Source organism: Homo sapiens, chromosome 20 (genome assembly GCF_000001405.40).
Source record: "Homo sapiens chromosome 20, GRCh38.p14 Primary Assembly".
Lineage (NCBI taxonomy): Eukaryota > Metazoa > Chordata > Mammalia > Primates > Hominidae > Homo > Homo sapiens.
Genome location: NC_000020.11, coordinates 36,734,196 through 36,751,453, shown reverse-complemented (window position 1 = coordinate 36,751,453; position 17,258 = coordinate 36,734,196). Strand labels below are relative to the sequence as shown.

The following is a 17,258-nucleotide window of genomic DNA, read 5'->3' as shown; positions in this document are numbered from 1 at the left end:
GGCTCACACCTGTAATCCCAGCACTTTGGGAGGCCGAGGTAGGTGAATCACTTGAGGTCAGGAGTTCGAGACCACCCTCGCCAACATGGTAACCCATATCTATAAAAAAATAGCCGGGTATGGTGGCACACACCTGTAATCCCAGCTATTTGGGAGCCTTAGGCAGGAGAATCACTTGAACCCGGGAGGCAGAGCTTGTGGTGAGCTGAGATAGTGCCACTGCACTCCTGGGCAGTGCTTTTTCCCGGGCGAAAAGGCGAGACTCCATCTCAAAAAAAAAAAACCAAAAAAACTAGGAGGGTTTAACAGAAAATAGGATTCTTTGCCAAGATGCTGAAGTGAACAGTAGTGTTGAGATATACCTCTGCATTAATTATCAGTAGAACACCAACTAGGCCAGGCACTTCAGGAGGCTGAGGTGAGTGGTCGCTTGAGCCCAGAAGTTTGAGGCCAGCCATGGGCAGCATGCCAAAACTCTGTCTACAAAAAATACAAAAATTAGCTGAGAGTGGTGGTGCATACCTGTATTTCCAGCTACTTGGGAGGCTGAAGTGAGAGGATCAATTGAGCCCGGAAGGCCAAGGCTGCAGCAAGACATGATCACAGAACTACATTCCAGCCTGAGCAACAGAGTGAGACCCTATCTCAAAATTAAAAAAAAAAAAAAAAAAAAAGCCACACACACACAAAAAAACCCACCATCTAATTTATTACTTACGTTTCTTATTCTGGCCAGGCATGGTGGCTCACACCTGTAATCCAGCATTTTGGGAGGCTGAAGTGGAAAGATCACTTGGGGCTAGGAGTTCAAGATCAGCCTAGGCAAGATGGTGAGACCCCTGTCCCTACAAAAAATTTAAAAATTTTTTAAAATTTGATGGTGTGTGCCTGTAGTCCTCATGCCTGTAGTCCCAGCTACTCAGGAGGCTGAGGCGGGAAGATCCCTTGAGCTCAGGAGTTCAAGGCTGCAGCGAGCTATGATTGTGCCTATGCACTCCAGCCTAGACAACAGCAAGACCCTGGCTCAAAAACAAGCTAAATAAATAAATAAATCCAGGCAGTAGTGCCATGGCATGCTCATGGCTCACTGGACCCTCAACCTCCTGAGCTCAAGCAATTCTTCCACCTCAGCCTCCCAAACAGCTGGGACTACAGGTGTGCACCACCACATCTGACTAATTTTTGTTTTGTTTTGTTTGAGACAGAGTCTCCCTCTGTTGCCCAGGCTGGAGTGCAGTGGTGCCATTTTGGCTCACTGCAACCTCTGCCTCCCGGATTTAAGTGATTCTTCTGCCTCAGCCTTGCGAGTAGCTGGGATTCCACACATGCACCACCACACCTGGCTAATTTTTGTATTTTTAGTAGAGATGGGGTTTCACCATGTTGGCCAGGCTGGTCTTGAACTCCTGACCTTAGGTGATCCACCCAACTTAGCCTCCCAAAGTGCTGGGATTACAGGCGTGAGCCACCGTGCCTGGCCTAACTTCTGTACTTTCGTAGGAATGCGGTTTCTCCATGTTGCCCAGGCTGGTCTCAAACTGGACTCAAGATATACACCCACCTCAGCCTCCCAAAATGCTGAGATTACAAGTGTGAGCCACTGTGCTCAGCCAAAATAAAATGTTTCTTATTCTCTGATCCCACTAAAGGGACAAATCCCATTTCAGTTAAACACCCAGTCATAATCTTAAGTCTTAAACCTTGGCGCAAGTGCCAGTTAATGAGAAATGACATCTCCTTGCTTGGACCTACATTTGTTCTTTATTCCTTTATATATTTACCGAGTACCCGCCATATGCCACACACAGTTCTAGGATTGGAGGAGGGAGCAAAGAGCAAAAACACATGGGTTCTCTCTCATGATGCTCAGTTTGCTGACGATACAAGGAACAAGAGAAAACTCTGCAGAAGAGATATTTTAGCTGACATGGGAAAGATGAAGGAGTTAAATGGGGCAAGTATTTCAGGCAAAAGGAGAAGCAATTTTCAAAGGCTTGAGGAGGACAGTGGAGCATGCTGGGACACTTAAAAAAAAAAAAAAGAATAAAGCAGGAGTGCTGGGCACCAGTAGAAGACTGGCCTGAGACAAGTATAATTGAAAGTCATTAGAAGGCTTCAAGAAAGGGCGAGAAGATCAGAACTTTATTTTTAAAAGAGTACTCTAGTTGTGGTGTGGGGAAAAGATAGCAAGGTATGGGTGTGGGAGACCAGTTAGGTTATTGCAGGAGTCTAGGAGAGAAATGACAGCTTGTGCTGGGTGTTGGCAGTGGATGAGTGGGGTGGGACTGCTCGTGTTGCCCACAGTGGCTAGAACATAGGCATGTAACCTAGGTGTTAAAAACCTAACTCTAGCCAGGCATGGTGGCTCATGCCTGTAATCCCAGCACTTTGGGAGGCTGAGGTGGGTGGGTCACCTGAGGTCAGGACCAGCCTGGCCAACATGGTGAAACCCCATCTCTACAAAAATACAAAAATTAGCCAAGCATGATGGCAGGTGCCTGTAATCCCAACTACTCAGGAGGCTGAGGTGGGAGAATTGCTGGAACCCGGGAGGGGGTGAAAGTTGTAGTGAGCCGAGATTGTGCCACTGCATTCCAGTCTGGATGACAGAGCAAGACTCTGTCTCAAAAAGAAAAAACCCCTAACTCTGCCATTTATTAACTGTGACTGAAAAATTTATTTAATCTCTTATCTCGAAGGTTGAGAGAATTATAGAACCTATATCACAGGGATGCTGTAAGAATTAAATAATATAAAAGTTTAGCGGTATCAGTATGCTGCAGGAGGTGAAGCCTGAACAGTGGGTAGATGATGGAGCAATTTGAGATGGGAAAGCTCGTTCTATTTGGAATACCAAATGGAGAAATCAACTGGTCTGTCAAATAACACAGGTGGAGAACTGGGTGGAGAAATCGAGACTGGAAATAACATTTGAGAGTTGCTGATGTCTAGTTCTTGATGACTTGAGAATGAATGATATAGTCCACAGTAGAGCAAGAAGGGAAAGTTTGGATGGTCTCATGGAAATCCAACATTTAAGAATCAGAGCAGAGCGGGACACAGTGGCTCATGCCTATAATCCCAGAACTTTGGGAGGCCTAGGCAGGAGGATTGCTTGAGTCCAAGAGTTCTAGACCAGCCTGAGCAACATGGTGAGACCCTCGTCTATATCTATCTCTATCTGTATCTCAAGAATCAGAGAAATGCTCTTAATTGCCTACTCTTTCATAAACAAAGTAGTACAATGGAGAGAGTTGGAGTGAATTTTCCTTTTTCTTTTTTTTTTTTGAGACGGAGTCTCGCTCTGTTGCCCAAGCTGGAGTGCAGCAGCGCAATCTCGGCTCACTGCAAGCTCTGCCTCCCGGGTTCACACCATTCTCCTGCCTCAGCCTCCCGAGTAGCTGGGATTACAGGCACCCGCCACTACGCCCAGCTAATTTTTGTATTTTTAGTAGAGACGGGGTTTCACCTTGTTAGCCAGGATGGTCTCGATTTCCTGACCTCATGATCTGCCCGCCTCAGCCTCCCAAAGTTCTGGGATTACAGGCGTGAGCCACTGCGCCCGGCCATGAATTTTCATTTTATCCTCAATTTCCTCATCTGTAAAATGGGGACAGATTATCTCTCTAAAGATGATTATACCCTCCCCCTTTTTATTTATTACATTGTATTGCATTTTTTGCTTATAAGGATTTCTTCAAACTCAAGAAGTATGTTTTGTGTCTTCAACAGTAAAATACGATAGAACAAAGAAAAATAATACTTACTGAGCTCTAAGCATTTTACATGCATATTATCATTCAGTCTTTGCCACAACCTTGTAACTTCTATTTCTGGGTGTGTGACATAGATGAGGAATTCGGGCATGGAGAGGTGTGGAGAGACTTAATTGTCTAACCAAGGACATAGGGATAAATAGTGGATGGTGAACTAGAACTAATTTGAATTCAGTAAATGTTAACGAACATAAACCATAAAATAAATGGCTGTGCTCAATTAATGTTAGTTTTCCTTCCAACTAAATTCAGTTCAAGAATTGTGCTTGATGAATAACAATATTATTGCTGCCCTCTGAGATGTTTGGTAATATTCATTTGTTCAGTTTGCCTTAATTAAAAGAATATGCTTTTAGTGGCCGGGCGTGGTGGCTCACACCTGTAATCCCAGCACTTTGGGACGCAGAAGCAGGCGGATTGCTTGAGGTCAGGAGTTTGAGACCAGCTTGGCCAACATGGTGAAACCCCATCTCTACTAAAAAAAAAAAAATACAAAAATTACCCAGGCATGGTGGCGCCCGCCTCTAGTCCCAGCTACTTGGGAGGCTGAGGGACTTGGGAACCTGAGCCGAGATGGCGACACTGGCTCGGGTTAAAAGGGCGTGGTGGCTCACACACCTGTAATCCCAGCACTTTGGGAGGCCGAGGCGGGCAGATGACGAGGTCAAGAGATCGAGACCATCCTGGCCAACACGGTGAAAACCCGTCTCTACTAATAATAGAAAAATTAGCCAGGCCCGGTGGCACACGCCTACAGTGCCAGCTACTCGGGAGGCTGAGGCAGGAGAATCGCTTGAACCCAGGAGGCAGAGGTTGCAGTGAGCCGAGATCGCGCTAGTGCACTCCAGCCTGGCGACAGAGTGAGACTCCGTCTCAAAAAACAAAACAAAACAAAACAAAAAAACTTTTAGTCAGTGGTACTTAATGGTAAAGAAATAATAGATAATAAATAGAGGAAGAGTGTGTCCTGTACATTTTGGTGTTAAATTGTTGGGTCATTAAGTTTAATATCTGCAATCATTCTGGGAAAAAAAATTCCATCTCTAATGTTGCATTCAAGAAAGTAGATGATTTGGCTGACGGTTGTAATAGGGGTGATACAATGGAGGACTGGTAATTCGGAGCCCTGAGTCTTGGACTCTAGTTCTTAAATTACTATGTTCATTCACCAAAAATTTACTAAGCTCTTTCCACGTGCCGAGCACTGTGCTAGGCGCCCTGTGACCTTGGGTATGGCTCTAGGTCACCTTAAAAGGAGGATGCCATACCCTGCAAGAGCTCTTAGGGGCTTCATAAGGATGCGACTCAGGGAACTGAGGGAAGCGCTCCAGACGCAGAGCTCAATGGCCCTGCCGCCCAGCGCCTCCAAAATCTGAGATTCTTCTCTGAGGAAACTCCGCAGCAAGAAAAACTACATCAAAGATGGCGCCGCCGGCCTCTCCTGGCTCAGCCACCATCTTCTCGGTAGTTCCCGAGGTGGACGGGCACAGCACTCATGCGCCGCCCTGGCGTCCTCGGCGCGCCTGCGCGGACCGCAGCACCTCCCCCGCCCCTCTCGCCGCCGCCGCCGCCGCCGCCGCCGCCGCCGCCGCCGCCGCTGCTGCTGCACTGACGGCGGGTGCCCGCGCCTCAGGTGAGTGAGCGCCTCCGCCCGGCCCGCGGGGGGCGCGCGGCGCCGCATTCGGGGGCGTCGCTCCTTTGCCCTGCTCCTTCCCCGCATCATCTCCGCGGCACGGCGAGGCCCTGGTGGCCCGTGCTGCTTGCCTCCCCCGTGCCCCCGGGGCCCTCTGCCCCGCCCCGCCCGCCCGCCGGACCCAGGTCAGCCCGGCTTTCCTCGGCCGCTCCCCGCGCCCAGCCCGCCGGCGACAGCGTGTGGGTAGCAAGAGAGCCTCCCTCCGGGCTCAACACCCTGGGTCACAGGGACGCCCCCCGCAGGCGCGAACCCTTCTCTCGCTCTGGCTCTGCAGGCGGCAGAGCTTGGTGGGCCTTGGGGTTGCTCATCCATCTACCTCGCCCGCTCCAAGAGCCCAGATGCTTGGAAGAGGGGCCGTGAGCAGCCCTTGCACCCGTCCGGCCCCAGAGCAGCAGAGGGCATCCTCTAACGGGACCCTACGACTACCCTACCGGGGAGAGGCTTCTTAGCCCCACTTAACAGCCGAGGAAACTGAGGCACGGAAAGGTGAAGTGCCATGCCCAAGGTCACGCAGCTGACAAGTGGCAGGGTCAGCTCTCAACTCAGGGTCTCGGGCTCTCAGGCCAGTGCGGTTGGAATTTGATCTCGTACCTTTGAAAAAATTTTGAAATCACTTGTCATCTCTGAAGTTGCTCTCGAACGTCGTAAAAGTAGGCTGCACAAAAAAGATTTTCTTGTTGTCGGAGTACAATTGAGGTGTTACTGTAATAATAATAGTGTTATTAATATAAGAGCTAACGTTCTTCCACCGCTCGCTGTGTGCCAGGGATCTTGCTAAGCATTTTATTAAGATAACCTCGCATAACCACCTCTGCACTTCCCAATCCAAATGCTTCCCCCTTCCTTGTCATGAAGCCCTTTTTTTCTTCCTGCAGAGCTGGCCTCCCTATCACAGGTAGACTAGGAGCCCCGTGGATTAGGAAGCAGGGAAGCTTTCCTTTGGTGGCTTACTGACAGAACAAGAGTGATCCTTGCCTGCTGGCATCCAGATCACCCCCGCCGCGCCCCCCCCCCCCCTTACCCTGGCCCTCAGGGGATATTATTAGCCTTCCTTTCCTGCCAAGAGAGCAGGACTGGGCTGACTGGGCTAGCTGGGCGGGCTGGACTTGGAGGTGACAGAGCAGATTTGGCTAGCACTCACCTCATTCCGGGGCTTTCTGTCCGAGGCTTTCTGCCTTTGCCCCAAGGTTGGGCTTGAACATTTCAGTATTTAAGATAAAGCAAGAAGAGAAAGAGAACATTGATAGAGTGGTGCTGAATTTAAGAAGCCTCCCATGATTTAAAGTTCCAAATGAACAGCTATAAAAATATGTGAATGTTTCTCCCCCAAAATAACTAGCTCAAACTGTCGTTTTTCTCCCTTAGCAAATCCTCCTCCACATTTCAAAGGCTCCACTAAATCACCACCTTCTCTGTGAAGCCTTCCCTGCTTGATTTTCCCAATTAGAATTACACGTTCACAAAACAGGGTCTTAGCCTCAGTCTTACCCTGCGGACTTCTAGCCCCTTGAGGGCATGGTCCATCTTTGCAGCTCCAGATGCCTGGCTCACAGTAGATCCTTGGTAAGGACTCAGTTAATTTCCACCCCCCCTTTTCATTACTCAAAGCGTGGTGTTCTTCTGGTGCCCTTCTGTTCCTCCTTCCTGCCCTTCAGTTTCTCTTTGCTTGTCTCTTCCTTCAGATTAAACTTGTCATCACCATTTACCACTCAAAGGCCTCCATCCACCCTGTTGTTTTTGAAAACTTGCAGATAAGAGTCTTGCATCAAAAAGCCTGTTTATGGACCGGGCGCTGCGGCTCACGCCTGTAATCCCAGCACTTTGGGAGGCCGAGGTGGGTGGATCACGAGTTCGGGAGATGGAGACCATCCTGGCTAATACGGGGAAACCCCGTCTGTACTAAAAAATAACAGAAAATTAGCCGCGTGTGGTGGTGGGCGCCTGTAGTCCCAGCTACTCGGGAGGCTGAGGCAGGAGAATGGCGTGAACCCGGGAGCTGGAGCTTGCAGTGAGCCGAGATCGCGCCACTGCACTCCAGCCTGGGCAACAGAGCTCCGTCTCAAAAAAAAAAAAAAAAAAAAAGCTTGTTTATGTTACTTGAACGTGCACTCACGATTGAGCTGCTTTTGTTTTTTGTTTGTTTTTTGTTTGTTTTTGTTTGTTTTTTGAGACGGAGTCTCGCTCTGTTGCCCAGGCTGGAGTACAGTGGCGCCATCTCGGCTCACTGCAAGCTCCGCCTCCCAGATTCACGCCATTCTCCTGCCTCAGCCTCCTGAGCAGCTGGGACTACAGGTGCTCGCCACCACCCCCAGCTAATTTTTTTTGTATTTTTTTAGTAGAGACAGGGTTTCACCGTGTTAGCCAGGATGGTCTCGATTTCCTGACCTCGTGATCCGCCTGCCTCGGCCTCCCATAGTGCTGGGATTACAGGCGTGAGCCACCAAGCCAGGCCGAGCTGCTTTTGTTTTATTATTATTATTATTATTTTTTGAGACGGAGTTTCGCTCTTGTTGCCCAGGCTGGAGTGCAGTGGCGCAATCTCGGCTCACTGCAACCTCCGCATCCTGGGTTCAAGCGATTTTCCTGCCTCAGCCACCCAAGTAGCTGGAATTACAGGCGCCCGCCACCATGCCCAGCTATTTTTTGTATTTTTAGTGGAGACGGATTTTCACCATGTTGGCCAAGCTGGTCTTGAATTCCTGACCTCAGGTGATCCGCCTGCCTCTGCCTCCCAAAGTGGTGGGATTACAGGCGTGAGCCTCCGAGCCCGGCTGCTTTTGTTTTATTCTAAATTGTTACTTCTGAGCAGGGAAAAATGCCTGTTTACAGTGGAGTTGGTATATGCTATTTCGATGTACAGGGTACTTTTCATTTGCATGTTGCAGTAGGATAGTCTGAGGCTTATACCCCTTTAGTCTGTCCCTCAATGCATGAGAAATCCATTTTTACATTCTTTTGCCCTCTGTGGCTGATTGCCCCTGGTTGTATCAAAGTAATCACAATTTTTACTGTATATCATTACATGGTATTTATAATAATAAATATTCAAAAAGGTCCTTTGGGAGGCAGCAGATATGTGCATAGATTCTTTATTTAAATGAAGGTTCTTAAAGAGTTTTTCCAAATAATTTTCTGTAAATATATTGACTATGGGTAAGGCATGGATGTATGGCGCCTGATATGGTGGAAGATTCACAGTTGAATCAAACAGGTTCCTGTTGAGAGAACTTACTAGCTAATTGGGAAACATTGTCTTTAACTGTACTAAAATCAAGTCTAAACATTCCCATATTAATGTTACAAGCAAAGCAATATTAGACTATAATGGAATAAGATATTCCTACATGGGGTGTTTCATAAAATTGTATGTTATTCAGGATGAAATGGAGCATCGAGTCATTAAGTCCATCCTTCTCACTTAGCACTGTGATTTTTAAAAATTCATTTACCAAAGAAAGCCCTGAAACCTGGTAAATATCCATAATCAAGCTAGCTAAGTTTTTGTGTGCTATTTTCAAGCACTATTAAGAAAGAAAGGTGGCGGGGGGCACCTTGAGAATTGAACTTGTCCAAGGTCGCAGAACTGGCTACAACTTGAAATTCCAGACTTTTTAGCCACTAAAGGTTTATCAGTATTTCTTCTCAGTGAATTCATCCTTAAAGACATTAACTAGCAACTCTATTATGATTCTATTTATGTGCTTAGAACAGGGGTGGGAGAAGACATACAAAAACATGATTCATGTCTTCAAGGAGGTTATGGTCTGTTGGGGAAGAGTAAAGCACTGTTCTCTAATGTTGAAGTCAGCGTATATATAATTGTTAAATTATATGGTAGGGGGACTAGCTGTATCATGGGAGCTGGGGAAAGGGGGCAAGAAGGATCAGTATGAGATGTGGTGGTGAGACCACTTTGGGTTTTGACTTTCTGGGCTTTGACAGGTGGATAGGGTCAGAATTAATCAAAAGGACAGGAAAACATTTTGAATCGGGGCTGATAAAACAGACAAGATAGCAGTGCCTGCCATGTTTAACGGACAGTAAAAAAATTGGCTTGGCTGGCTTAGAGCAGTGGTTCTCAATCTTTAGTGTGCACCAGCATTACCTTGAGAGCTTATTAAAACCCATATTCCTGGGCTCGACCTTCAGAGTTTCTGATTCATTAGTTCTGGAGTGGAATCCGAGAATTTGCAGTTCTAACAAGTTCCCAGATGATGCTGATGCTGCTGGTCTAAGGATCACACTTTGAGAACCACTTGATTAGAAGGTTGAGCAGCTAGAGTCAGAAACTGTCAAATAACTTGTTTCAAAAAAGTGCGTGTGAGTCAGGTGTGGGGGTATACTGACATAGGAGAGTTCTGGAAAGATATATACCAAGCTCTAATGGTCCTCACTTCTGGGAGTAAGATTTAGAGGCTTGGGGAATTTACTTTTTTACCTTTCTATATTATTTTTGCATTGTGCACATAATGCTTTTGTGTTTTAAAAATGAAAGAAAAATAAGAATCTTTTTTGAAGATATATAGTAAAATATTTATGGATTAAAAAAAGAGCTTGCTAAAGTAATCTAGTGTCATCCAACAAACATTTTTAGAGTGTCTGCTATATGCCAGATGCTGCTAGCTTCTGGAAATACAAAGCCTTTGCTAAAGCTTGCAGGCTGGTGATGGTGATTGAGATGGGCAGATAGCAGCTTTACTTGGTATCACGTAAGCTTCCTAAGAGCAGGGACCAGGGTCTAGCTCTGTGCTTGGCTGATAATAGGCGCTTAGTAAATGATGAATGAATGAACAAATCCGGGTAAGAAGTGAAGACAGAAGGAAAGAAAAAAAGGCCAAATGGGAGATTCTGGAAGAAAACGGACAAGCCTGGATAGGAATGGTGAAAGGAAGGGGTGCATCAAAAAGTACTTTCAAGTGCAAAGATTGATAACATTTTGGGTTTACTGCAGAACTGGATGTCAAATTGTTTCTTCTAAAAGATTCCCCCCCCACCTTTCTTTTTTAATAGCACTTGAAAATAGCACACGAAAACTTAGCTAGCTTGATTATGGATATTTACCAGGTTTCAGGGCCTTCTTTGGTAAATGAATTTTTAAAAATCACAGTGCTAATTCTATAAAACTAATGTATAATATTTACCTACAATTAATTGTTCTCTCATTCATGTGAAATTAACTGATATATGAAGGGTGTTTTGCATGTTATACAAAAATGGGTAGTATTATGTCTTTTGATTTTATCTCTTCAGTGAAAGGGCTAGTAGTCCACTCAGAGTTCTGTGATATGTCTCATAGTACATGACAGAATTTGACATTTTATCAGTTGTAAATAAAAATTTGTTGCCCAGGTGTGGTGGCTCACGCCTGTAATCCCAGCACTTTAGGAGTCCGAGGCGGGCGGATCACGAGGTCAGGAGTTCGAGACTAGCCTGGCCAACATGGCAAACTGTCTCTACTAAAAATGCAAAAATTAGCCGGGTATGGTGGCACACATCTGTAGTCCCAGCTACTCGGGAGGCCGAGGCAGGAGAATCGCTTGAACCCGGGAGGCAGAGGTTGTGGTGAGCCGAGATCACACCATTGCACTCCAGCCTGGGTGATAGAGCGAGACTCCGTCTCAAAAAACAAAAAAAAATTGTTGTTGATGGCCAACTGGGGTGCACTTTGGAGGAATCCGGCTTCTTTGCATTCTGAATTTAATTCTTTATAAACACTAATTGCAGTGGCAAACATTAATTAATGTTATTGATATGGAGCTGGTATCCTCCCTGGATTTGGGAAGAATGTGTTATATGGAGTCTTTTTGTGTGGAGATGCCACTTTTTATCTTCCCTAGAGATTTAATATAGTAAATGAAGATTAATTTTCTAAGTACAGTGGTGGTTTCCGCCAGGCTTTAGCTATAGCATTTGACAATAATCCCCTTATTACCTAAAAGTGCCCATGGTCTACAGTCTGGGGTTTTCAATTGATCAAGTAGAATTCTGGATATAGCCACTCTTTATACTTAATTTTATTACTTATTAGGTTTTTCTATTGTAAGGTTTACGGTTTTTTTTTTTTTTTTTTTTTTTGAGACGGAGTCTCGCTCTGTCACCCAGGCTAGGGTGCAGTGGTGTGATCTCAGCTCACTGCAAGCTCCGCCTACCAGGTTCACGCCATTCTCCTGCCTCAGCCTCCCGAGTAGCTGGGACTACAGGCGCCCGCCACCGCACCCGGCTAATTTTTTGTATTTTTAGTAGAGACGGGGTTTCACCATGGTCTCGATCTCCTGACCTCATGATCCGCCCACCTCAGCCTCCCAAAGTGCTGGGATTATAGGCGTGAGCCACCGGCGCCCGGCCGAGACAGGGTTTCACTGTGTTAGCCAGGATGGTCAGGATCTCCTGACCTCGTGATCCGCCCACCTCAGGCTCCCAAACTGCTGGGATTACAGGTGTGAGCCACTGTGCCTGGCCCAGTGCTTCTATATTTTTAAGGCTGAATTTTCTTTCATGGATACAAGTTGACAGCTTTTTTTTTTTTTTCTTTTTTTTTGAGGCGGAGTCTCACTCCGTTGCCCAAGCTGGAGTGCAGTGGGGCGATCCCGGCTCACTGCAACCTCCGCCTCCCAGGTTCATGGGATTTTCCTGCCTCAGGCTCCCGAGTAGCTAGGATTACAGGCCCATGCCACCACACCTGGCTCATTTTTGCATTTTTAGTAGAGACGAGGTTTCACCATGTTGGTCAGGCTGGTCTCGATCTCCTGACCTCGTGATCCGCCAGCCTCGGCCTCCCAAAGTGCTGGGATTACAGGCATGAGCCACTGTGCCTGGCCTTTTTTTTTTTTTTTTTTTTTTTTTTTTTTTTGAGATGGGGTCTCGTTTTGTCACCCAGGCTGGAGTGCAGTGGCAGGATTTCGGCTTACTGCAGCCTCTGCCTCCCGAGTTCAAGCCATTCTCCTGCCTCAGCCTCCTGAGTAGCTGGGAAGTAGCTGGGATTACAGGTGCATGCCATCACCCCTGACTAATTTTTGTATTTTTAGTAGAGATGGGGTTTCACCATGTTAGCCAGACTGGTCTTGAACTCCTGACCTCAGGTGATCCACCCGCCTCGGCCTCCCAAAGTGCTGGGATTACAGGCATGAGCCACTCTGGCTGGTTCCTTTTTTTTTTTTTTTTTGAGACAGTTTTTTACTCTGTGGTCCAGGCTGGAGTGCAGTGGCATGATCTCAGTTCACTGCAACCTCTGCCTCCCAGGTTCAAGCAGTTCTCCTGCCTCAGCCTCCCGAGTAGCTGGGATTACAGGTGCATGCCACCACACCTGACTAATTTTTGTATTTTTAGTAGAGATGGGGTTTCACCATGTTGGCCAGGCTTGTCTCAAACTCCTCACCTCAAGTGATCCGCCCACCCCGGCCTCCCAAAGTGTTGGGATTACAGGCGTGAGCCACTATGCCTAGCCCCATTTTTTAACTTTTGAAGGTGTTGCTTTTTTTTTTTGCAAAGGAGTTTTGCTCTTTTGCCCGGTCTAGAGTGAAGTGGTGAAGTGGTGTGATCTCGGCTCACTGCAACCTCTGTCCCCCGGATTCAAGCAATTCTCCTGCCTCAGTCTCTCGTGTAGCTGGGATTATAGGTACCTGCCACCATGCCTGGCTAATTTTTGTATTTTTATTAGAGACGGGGTTTCACCATGTTGGCCAGGCTGGTCTCGAACTCCTGCCTTGGCCTCCGAAAGTGCTAGGAGAAAGTGTTGCTTTTAAGTCATTTTGTTGGGATGGTTTTAACCAGGGTGTTCACTAAAATATAACTTTGGATGATTAGTCCACAGGTTGTATTGCATTTCCAATACCCCCAGGTAGGTACAAGTCTCATATTAAAGTAGTAATGATAATAACGATACCTAAATTTTGTATGGGGTTTAGAATTTTTTTTTTTTTTTTGAGACAGAGTCTTGCTCTGTCACCAGGCTGGAGTGCGGTGGCACAATCTCAGCTCACTGCAACCTCCACCCCCTAGGTTCAAGCAGTTCTCATGCCTCAGCCTCCTGAGTAGCTGAGACAACAGGTGACCGCCACCATGCCTGGCGAATTTTTTGTATTTTTGGTGGAGGTGAGTTTCACCATGTTGGCCAGGCTGGTCTCAAACTCCGCCCACCTCAGCCTCTCAAAGTGCTGGTATTACAGGTATCAGCCACTGCGCCCAGCCAATTTTCAGAATTATTTTATAGTAACATCCTGGTAAGCTCCCGTAACCTAACCTGAGAATATGCATTAGAAGGATTAATGATCAGATGGCATCAAGTGGGGAAAATTGGTTATAGAGGTCAGGATGCAGATTGCTCAGGTTCAAATCCTTGCTCTGCTGCTTGCTAGCTGTGTGACCTTTGGCAAATTACAATACCCCGTCCGAGCTTCAGTTTCTTCATCTGTAAAATGGGGTGGATTAAATATGTTGGGAAGCACAATGAAATAATGAATCCATAAAGTGCTTATCACGGTACCTGGCATAGTGTTAAGCGCTCAATAAATTTGGCTCGTATGAGTATTATATACTGCATTTTAGGGCTCTTGTTTGTCCTTTACCTCACTCAGGCTGCCTTAAAGTACAAATTGTTTTTAGGGATTCCGCCTTACAGCTGGCAGGAACCTGGAGCCATCTAAGAGCACACCCCAGGGCTTTGCTGGTGGTAGCTTTCCTCGTGTCCTGAGTTGCCTTCTTCAGGAGTGGAAGGCAGGGGGTTGTGCTTCTGCTTTTAGAGTTACTTTAGTATGACTCCTGTGTTAAAACTTCCGCTGGCCGATGGGTGTCTGGGATTAACAAGAAGGCTCCTAGATGGGTCTTGCTTTGTTCTAGCAGTTATTTATACCAGGACCCTGGAAGGGATAGAATTAATATATAAGACAGACTCAGATTTCCAGCTTGGCAGTCTCTACAAACCTCTCATTTACCACCTGCTGCCAGAACCCAGGAGTGACACAACAGGAAGGTGGGCCTATTGCAGGGGTTGCTGCCCTTTTCCTTTCAGGAAAATATGAGGGGTGTGAATGGCCCTTATCTAGGCCTGAGGATGAGCAGGGGTACTTCCTGTTACAGTGAGGATCTGTGAGCATATCAGCTACTTAAGTAGCTGCCTTTGATCCTTCCCCACCCCTTAGCTTATGGAGATAGGGGGGATAGCATCTCTGAGAGAATTTCTTCTGGCGAAGAGGTACCCAGACTTTCCTTTATGCAGTGAAAAATCTCAGCTGCATTTTTAAAAGTCTTCCATGGAGCTGGGTGGTTTGGCTTGTTTATCTGGCTTCCTGGGGGAGTCTCCTGAGATCCTTTGCTTTCCTAAGGGCCCCCAGGAGACAGCAGTAGAACCAACATCCATTACCGTAGACACTTGAGGGGATGTTTAAGTCAATAGTTTTAGGATTAGATTAATTCAGCCTTTAACCCTGAGGAAACTTAAGAGCCAAGTCATCAGATAATTGTGCATCTTCTAGACTGAAGTATGGAATTTAGCCCAGTACTCTGGGATCTCTTTCAGAGCTGAGCTAGGAATCCGCATGCTAGTTCCAGCTCCACACCTAGCTGGCTGTGTGAATTCAGAAATCACTTAAATTTTCTGGGCCTCTTTTCTCATTGGAGAATGAGGGCATTACTGTAAACCAGTGGTTCTTAGCCCTAGCTGCATGTAAGAATTACCTGTGAAGCTTTAAAAACAATACTCAGGCCCTACGTTAGCCCAATTAAATTGGATCTTTAAGGTTGGGGCTGAGTCATTGATAATCTTCACTGCTTCCCAGGTTTAAGTGTAGCTAAGATAACTACGTGGACAACATGACCAAGTTTTAAACAACTGAAAAAAGTTAAGCTTCTGTGTCATTCTGCTCCTCAGAAACCTTCAGGGGTTGTCTGTGTAGTAAAGTCCAGCTCAGGTGCTCTGCATTCTGACCTAGGCTACTTCTGCAGCTTGTCTTCTTTCCCAGCTATATTGTTCTTGGTGTCTCCTGAATGTATTGTCTTTTTTTTTTTTTTTTTTTTTTTGAGACAGGGCCTCGCTCTGCCCAGGCTGGAGTGCAATGGTGCAATCTCGGCTCACTGCAACCTCCACCCCCTGGGTTCAAGCCTCAGCCTCCTGAGCTGGGATTAAGGCATGCGCCATCATGCTCAGCTAATTTTTGTATTATTAGTGGAAATGGGGTTTCACTTTGTTGGCCAGGCTGATCTTGAACTTCTGACCTCAAGTGATCCTCCCACCTCAGCCTCCCAAAGTGCTGGGATTACAGGTGCCCTGCCTGAGTGTATTGTCTTTAATTCTTTCTTTCCCAACCCTGATGTCCTCACCTGTATGTCCCTCCTCCCTTCCCCTGTTCAAAACATATCCCTTTAGGGCCCATCATTCTCCCTTCCCTTGGGAAACTCCTGACCATCCTAATCCTTAGTTATTTCTCCTGCCTCTGCATTGGTTTTGAGCTTCATTAGCTCTGAGTGTATGTTCCAAACACTAGCTGCAATGTAAACATGATAACTCAAGCAGCATTCAATCCTTCAGAGAGTGGGACACATGGAAATACAGGTTGAGTATCCCTTATCCAAAATGCTTGGGACCAGAAGTGTTTCAGGTTTTGGATTTTTTCCAATTTTGGAATATTTGAATTATACTTACCAGTTGAGCATCCCTAATCTGAAAATCTAAAATCCGAGTGCTCCAATGAGCATTTAGTCTGAGCGTCATGTCAGTGCTCAAAAAGTTTTGGATTTTGAAGCACTTCGGATTTTGGATTTTCAGATTAGAGATGCTCAACATGTGCCACTGGGGTGACTTGTATACTGTTAAACGTGTGATATGGTGTATTGTTGGCTATGTCATTATGTATGTATATCTTGTAAATATTAGTTGATGGATAGCTATCCATGACCAGCCTCCAGCTGTCATTTTTACCCTTATTTCCTATTTCCAGCAGACCTTGTGCTTTCTCATCTCCTTGCCTTTAAGTTATCCTCCCTTTCTGGAATTTCCTCTTTTATTCTTATTCTCATTTACAGGAATTTTATCTATTTCTCAAGGTGCAGTTCAGATATTACCTCCTCCATGAAACTTCTTCCCAGCACCCACAAGCTGCAGTGACTCGATTATGCCCTAAACCTCTGTAACCCTTAGAGCAGTGCTTCTCAATTGGGAGTGATTTTGCCCCAAAGAGGACATTTGGCATTATCTGGAGACATGTTTGGCTGTCACAGCTGTTGGGGGAGTGTGCCACTGTCATCTAGTATTGGAGGCCAGGGATGCTGCTACACATTCTGCAATGCATAGAACAGACCTCCCACAACAAAAAATCATCTGGCCTAAAATGTCAGTTGTGCCAAGGTTGAGAAACTGCCTTTGAGTTTGTCCAGTTCATAAGCTTCTATGTATACTGCCTCGAACTGTAACAATTTGTTTATAGACCTTATCTCCCCTATTTAATTGAATTAATAGGTAAAGACTAATTCCAGTCCCCCATCTGTGCTTTCTTGTTATTCACTACATATCAGGGCTTAATCCTAGAGCCTGTGGCCTAATCCTAACTGCTTAAGCAGAGATAAAGACATGTTCAGTGCGGAGTGGGTGTGGTGAGGCAGTCTTCTCAATTCTGAATTTCTCTTCTTTTCACTCTCAGTCTTTTCATCTGTGATGACCTGGGAGAAAGTGTGATTTAGGGCATAAAATGAGCATTTGGGATCGGAAGACCTGGGTTTCAGTTCCAGCTGTGCCATTTATTAGTTGTGGTATTTTGGTCAGTCCATGTCACCTCTTTTTTTTTTTTTGAGACGGAGTC

The 17,258-nt window shown here is 46.1% G+C and overlaps 1 protein-coding gene across 8 annotated transcripts in view, besides 5 other annotated features; it reads left to right on the top strand.

Moving 5' to 3' along the window:
• Positions 2,041–2,241: a silencer, noted in NCBI's record as "peak4204 fragment used in MPRA reporter construct". NCBI's record gives its function as "represses an SCP1 promoter by STARR-seq MPRAs in K562 erythroleukemia cells {active_cell/tissue: K562}" and the evidence as "EXISTENCE:reporter gene assay evidence [ECO:0000049][PMID:32103011]".
• Positions 4,935–5,901: an enhancer, noted in NCBI's record as "H3K27ac-H3K4me1 hESC enhancer chr20:35373956-35374922 (GRCh37/hg19 assembly coordinates)". NCBI's record gives its function as "activates a minimal SCP1, AML or CMV promoter by ChIP-STARR-seq in primed H9 embryonic stem cells {active_cell/tissue: H9 hESC(primed)}" and the evidence as "EXISTENCE:reporter gene assay evidence [ECO:0000049][PMID:30033119]".
• Positions 5,111–5,210: an enhancer, noted in NCBI's record as "active region_17815". NCBI's record gives its function as "activates an Ori minimal core promoter by ATAC-STARR-seq in GM12878 lymphoblastoid cells {active_cell/tissue: GM12878}" and the evidence as "EXISTENCE:reporter gene assay evidence [ECO:0000049][PMID:35858748]".
• Positions 5,321–5,520: a silencer, noted in NCBI's record as "silent region_12878". NCBI's record gives its function as "represses an Ori minimal core promoter by ATAC-STARR-seq in GM12878 lymphoblastoid cells {active_cell/tissue: GM12878}" and the evidence as "EXISTENCE:reporter gene assay evidence [ECO:0000049][PMID:35858748]".
• Positions 5,364–17,258, top strand: part of NDRG3 (NDRG family member 3) — a 94,320-nt gene continuing 82,425 nt past the window's right edge. For 6 of the 8 annotated variants that reach the window (NR_038370.2, NM_022477.4, XM_011528927.4 and 3 more), the window contains exon 1: positions 5,364–5,409. The gene's annotated coding sequence lies outside the window, so the exon portion shown is untranslated. Of the gene's footprint in view, positions 5,956–17,258 lie in introns of all 8 variants that reach the window. The other 2 variants (XM_017027979.2, XM_017027978.3) reach the window with 2 other exon arrangements.
• Positions 5,551–5,740: a silencer, noted in NCBI's record as "silent region_12877". NCBI's record gives its function as "represses an Ori minimal core promoter by ATAC-STARR-seq in GM12878 lymphoblastoid cells {active_cell/tissue: GM12878}" and the evidence as "EXISTENCE:reporter gene assay evidence [ECO:0000049][PMID:35858748]".